Genomic DNA, 4,750 nt, shown 5'->3' on the forward strand with positions numbered 1-4,750 from the left:
TTATTTATTTATTTATTTATTTATTTATTTATTTATTTATTTATTTTTGAGACGGAGTCTCGCACTGTAGCCCAGGCTGGAGGGCAGTAGCAGGATCTCGGCTCACTGCAAGCTCCGCCTCCCGGGTTCACCCCATTCTCCTGCCTCAGCCTCCGAAGCAGCTGGGACTACAGGCGCCCGCCGCCACGCTCGGCTAACTTTTTTGTATTTTTAGTAGAGACAGGGTTTCCCCATGTTACCAGGATGGTCTCGATCTCCTGACCTTGTGATCCGCCCACCTCGGCTTCCCAGGGTGCTGGGATTACAGGCGTGAGCCACCGCGCCAGGCCATTTTATTTTATTTTATTTTATTTTATTTTATTTTATTTTATTTTATTTTATTTTATTTTTTAGATGAAGTCTTGCTCTATCGCCAGGCTAGAGTGCAGTGGTGTGATCTCGGCTCACTGCAACCTCCGCCTCCCGGGTTCAAGCGATTCTCCTGCCTCAGCCTCCCGAGTAGCTGGGATTACAAGCATGTGTCACCATGCATGGCTAATTTTGTATTTTTAGTAGAGACAGGGTTTCTCTAGGTTGGTCTTGTCTCAAACTCCTGACCTCAGGTGATCCACCCACCTCGGCCTCCCAAAGTGCTGGGATTACAGCACTTCACCATGTTGGCCAGGATGGTCTCGATCTCTCGACCTCGTGATCCGCCCACCTCGGCCTCCCAAAGTGCTGGGATTACAGGCGTGAGCCACCACGCCCGGCCAACTCTGTGCCTCTTTGATCAATTCCAGTGGTACCAGGTAAACTGCTTATGAGTGAAATTTAGAAAAACCTCCCCCAGCAGTGGGGGAAAATGCACAGTGCATAAGGCCTTATTTGGGTGAGGAGTTGGGGGAGTGAATGTATTAACCTTGTAGTGAAGTCACCTTAGATTCTAGTAGTTATGCTTCTTTCAGGAATATGACCACTCAGACCATAAAAGCTGGATGTGACCATGGTTTCATTTCTTTGGAAATGATTCTGCCAGAACAGGAACTGAGAATTTTTTCTCTGTGACCTCTGGGTGAGTTTGTGTTCCATGAGAACATTGGGCTTTGCATTTCTCAGTACACTGCTCTCATAGCTCTTGGGTTTGGAAGAGGTCACTGTCATCAAACTTTTTATGACTTTAGCCCTCAGAGAACCAAGGATAAAGGTGAATAAAGAACGCATCCAAGGTAGAAAGCTCCAACACCCCCGAGATGTTTACTTTCTATAAAACCTGGAGTCTCATGCCAGAGGGATTATATAAAAATAAAGCCAGGGTAGCCAAGTGCAAACCGTAGAGTTATCAACAGTGCTGTGAGATGAAGTCTTTTGTTCAAGGTCCTTTAATTGCCAGATGCAAAAGATAGTAAAATGGATTCTTTTATTCTTGAAACTTTGCCAGCCTCGTGGCTAATGCCCACTACAGCTGCATTAAAGGCTCTGAGGATCTCTGCCAAGATGTGATGATGGCCAAGAACCAGTGATGACTTCAGGGGACCTTTCTCAACCTGCCAGCCCTGCCATCTTGGCCTAGCCCACAGGCCACTGCCTGACCCAGTCTGATTTATAGCTCCCATGGGATCGCTGTCAAAAAAGGATCCTATGGGATCCTTCCATAGAGGCTAATATTCACAGAACGCTTTAGAAAACGAGCTTAAAGTTTAATGTTGAGGGATGTTGTGGGCCAAAGGGTGGTCCTGAAGGGAACTTCTCTGAAATTCTGTGCTAGGAGCTAGGACTCAGGCACAGTGTTATGTGTCTCAGGCACAGTGTTATGGAAAGAGCATAGGATCAAGGGACAAGAAGTCCGAGATCAGTTTTTTTTTTCAGCTTTATTTCAGTATAACTGGCAAATAACAACTGTACATATTTAAGGTGTACAACTTAACGGTTTTTTTTTTTTGGAGGGGGTGGGGTTGTTTTTTTTTTTTTTCTTTTATTTTGTTTTGAGACAGAGTTTTGCTCTTGTTGCCCAGGCTGGAGTGCAATGGCGCGATCTTGGCTCACTGCAACGTCTGCCTCCCGGATTCCACCAATTCTTGTGCCTCAGCCTCCCGAATAGCTGGGATTACAGGCGCCTGCCACCACACCCGGCTAATTTTTGTATTTTTAGTAGAGATGGGGTTTCACCACATTGGCCAGGTTGGTCTCAAACTCCTGACCTCAGGTGATCCACCCACCTCTGCCTCCCAAAGTGCTGGGATTACAGGCATAAGCCACTGTGCCCAGCCCCTGTTTTTCATTTTTTTAGAGACAGGGCCTCTCTCTGCTGCCCAGGCTGACTGCAGTGGCACAATCTCGGTTACACTGCAAACTCCACCTCCCAGGCTCAAGTGATCCTCCTGCCTCAGCCTCCCAAGTAGCTGGGACTATAGGTGCATGCCCCACACCTGGCTATTTTTTGATTTTTTGTAGAGATGAGGTCTTACTATGTTGCCCAGGCTGGTCTCGAAATCCTAGGCTCAAGTGATCCTCCCACCTCAGCCTTGAAAAGTGCTGGGATTGCAGGCATCAACCATCATGCTGGTCCAACTTAATGTTTTGATATAGGTATACATTATGAAACAATCACAATCAAGACCATTAACATATTCATCACCTCACATAATTATCTATTCATTATTATCATATTATTATTATTATTTTGAGACCGAGTCTTCCTCTGTCACCCATGCTGGAGTGCAGTAGCATGATCTTGGCTCACTGCAGCCTCTATCCCCGGGTTCAAGTGATTCTTGTGCCTCAGCCTCCCAAGTAGCTAGGATGACATGCATGTGCCACCATGCCTGGCTAATTTTTGTATTTTTAGTAGAGTCGAGCTTTCGCTATGTTGCCTAGGCTGGTCTCGAACACCTGGCCTCAAGTGATCCGCCTGCCTCGGCCTTTCAAATTGTTGAGATTACAGGCATGAGCCACCATGCCTGACCTATTATTTTTTATTTTGTTTTGTTTTGCTTTGTTAGAGTCTCACTCTGTCGCCCAGGATGGGGTAAAGTGGTATGATCTCAGCTCACTGTAACCTCTGCCTCCCGGGTTCAAGTGATTCTCCAGCCTTGGTTTCCCAAGTAGCTGGGACTACAGGCGTGCACCACCATGCCCAGCTAATTTTTGTATTTTTTAGTAGAGACGGGGTTTCACTATACGTTGGCCAGGCTGGCCTCGAACTCCTGACCTCAGGTGATCCACCTGCCTCGGCCTCCCAAAGTGCTGGGATTACAGGCATGAGCCACCACGCCCGGCCCTACTATTATTTTTTTAAAGGAAGTCTGAGGTTTACTCATGGATTCACCTCTGTGCTGGATATCTTCTGTTGCCTACTCCATCCGGGAGCCACTCCCTACTCTCTCTCTTCAGTGCCCAGGAGACTGACCTGTGTAGAAACCTCAGCAGGCTCCCTTGCCCTCTGGCTTCCAATAAGGCCAACGAGGGTCTCCTTTAGGGGATCAGAAGGAGGGAGGACAGAGGGGTTGGGTGTTAATTATCCTGAGTTCTTAGACCTAGGAGGTCTCTGTGCACTGACACTGCAGGCCTCTCCAGTTCTGGTGACCTGGCCCTCCTTCCTCCCTCCATGGCAAGCCTATGTAGCTCCCCACAACAACACACTGTCCCTGTGGCTTCCCTGCACCCTGCCCCTATTTTTGTAAAGAGTTCCTTTATTAGGTTCTGCTGAAATTACCCAACTGGAGTGTGCCCTCTGTTTCTTGCCAAGACCCTGACCAATGCAGCCACCAATGAGTCCAGTGACCCTGGTCACACCACTTAGGCCCCGTGGCTTTGGTTTCTTCATCTTTATTTATTTTTAATTTTTTTATTTTTTAAAATTTTATTTTTATTTTTATTATTTTTGGGTTTTTTTGAGATGGAGTCTCGCTCTGTGACCCAGGCTGGAGTGCAGTGGCAAGATCTCGGCTCACTGCAACCTCCACCCTCCAGGTTCAAGTGATTCTCTGGCCTCAGCCTCCCCAGTAGCTGGGATTACAGGCACCTGCCACCATGCCCGGCTAATTTTTGTATTTTTAGTAGAGACGGGGTTTCACCATGTAGGCCAGGCTGCTCTTGAACTCCTGACCTCAAGTGATCTGCCCACCTTGGCCTCCCAAAGTGCTGGGATTACAGGCATGAGCCACCGTGCCCAGCCTAAAATGCCAGTTCTTACACACTTGCTTCACGGGGCTTTCATAAGGATTATAATAGATATAAAGCACTAAACAAACATAATCTTTAAAAAAAAAAACATAATGTGCTTTCTAAGTTTCACAATTCCAGAATGCGTAAAAATAACAAGTTGTCTTTTATATCAAGATGCTGCTGCCAATACGCAACTGCTCAAATATGAACTCTGAGCAGTTTTTCTAAAATTCACGATGGTTTTTATTGAGTACGCAAAAGGCTAAACTAGATTTCACTCTGATAAACATAATGATATTACGTGACCCAATAATATTAAATCCTAAAATCTATCCCAAACCCAGGCAGATAAGACAGCTAAGATAAAAACATTTTTAATATGTTGTACCCAACAGGGTAGTAATGATTTGTATTTTATTAGAAAAACTCTAAATAAAGACATTAGTATATTTTTCATTTTAGAAAAACAAAAACAGCTTTGTTATCACCATTGGCTACCAAGATATGGTGCTGGAAAAAATATATTGCTAGATTTAAAAGATAGGTCCCCACTTTAAGTGCAAGTTTTGATGCATTCTGTGTGACCTTAAGCAAAGCATTTAATCCT

General features: G+C 45.5%; 1 annotated feature.

Moving 5' to 3' along the window:
- Nucleotides 3,192-3,371: a silencer, noted in NCBI's record as "fragment chr2:85740471-85740650 (GRCh37/hg19 assembly coordinates)". NCBI's record gives its function as "represses an EF-1alpha promoter that drives an FKBP-Casp9 reporter gene in an ReSE screen in both phorbol 12-myristate 13-acetate-treated (for megakaryocytic differentiation) and untreated K562 erythroleukemia cells {active_cell/tissue: K562 | K562(+PMA)}" and the evidence as "EXISTENCE:reporter gene assay evidence [ECO:0000049][PMID:32094911]".

The sequence above is a fragment of the Homo sapiens genome, chromosome 2 (genome assembly GCF_000001405.40).
Source record: "Homo sapiens chromosome 2, GRCh38.p14 Primary Assembly".
Taxonomy (NCBI): domain Eukaryota; kingdom Metazoa; phylum Chordata; class Mammalia; order Primates; family Hominidae; genus Homo; species Homo sapiens.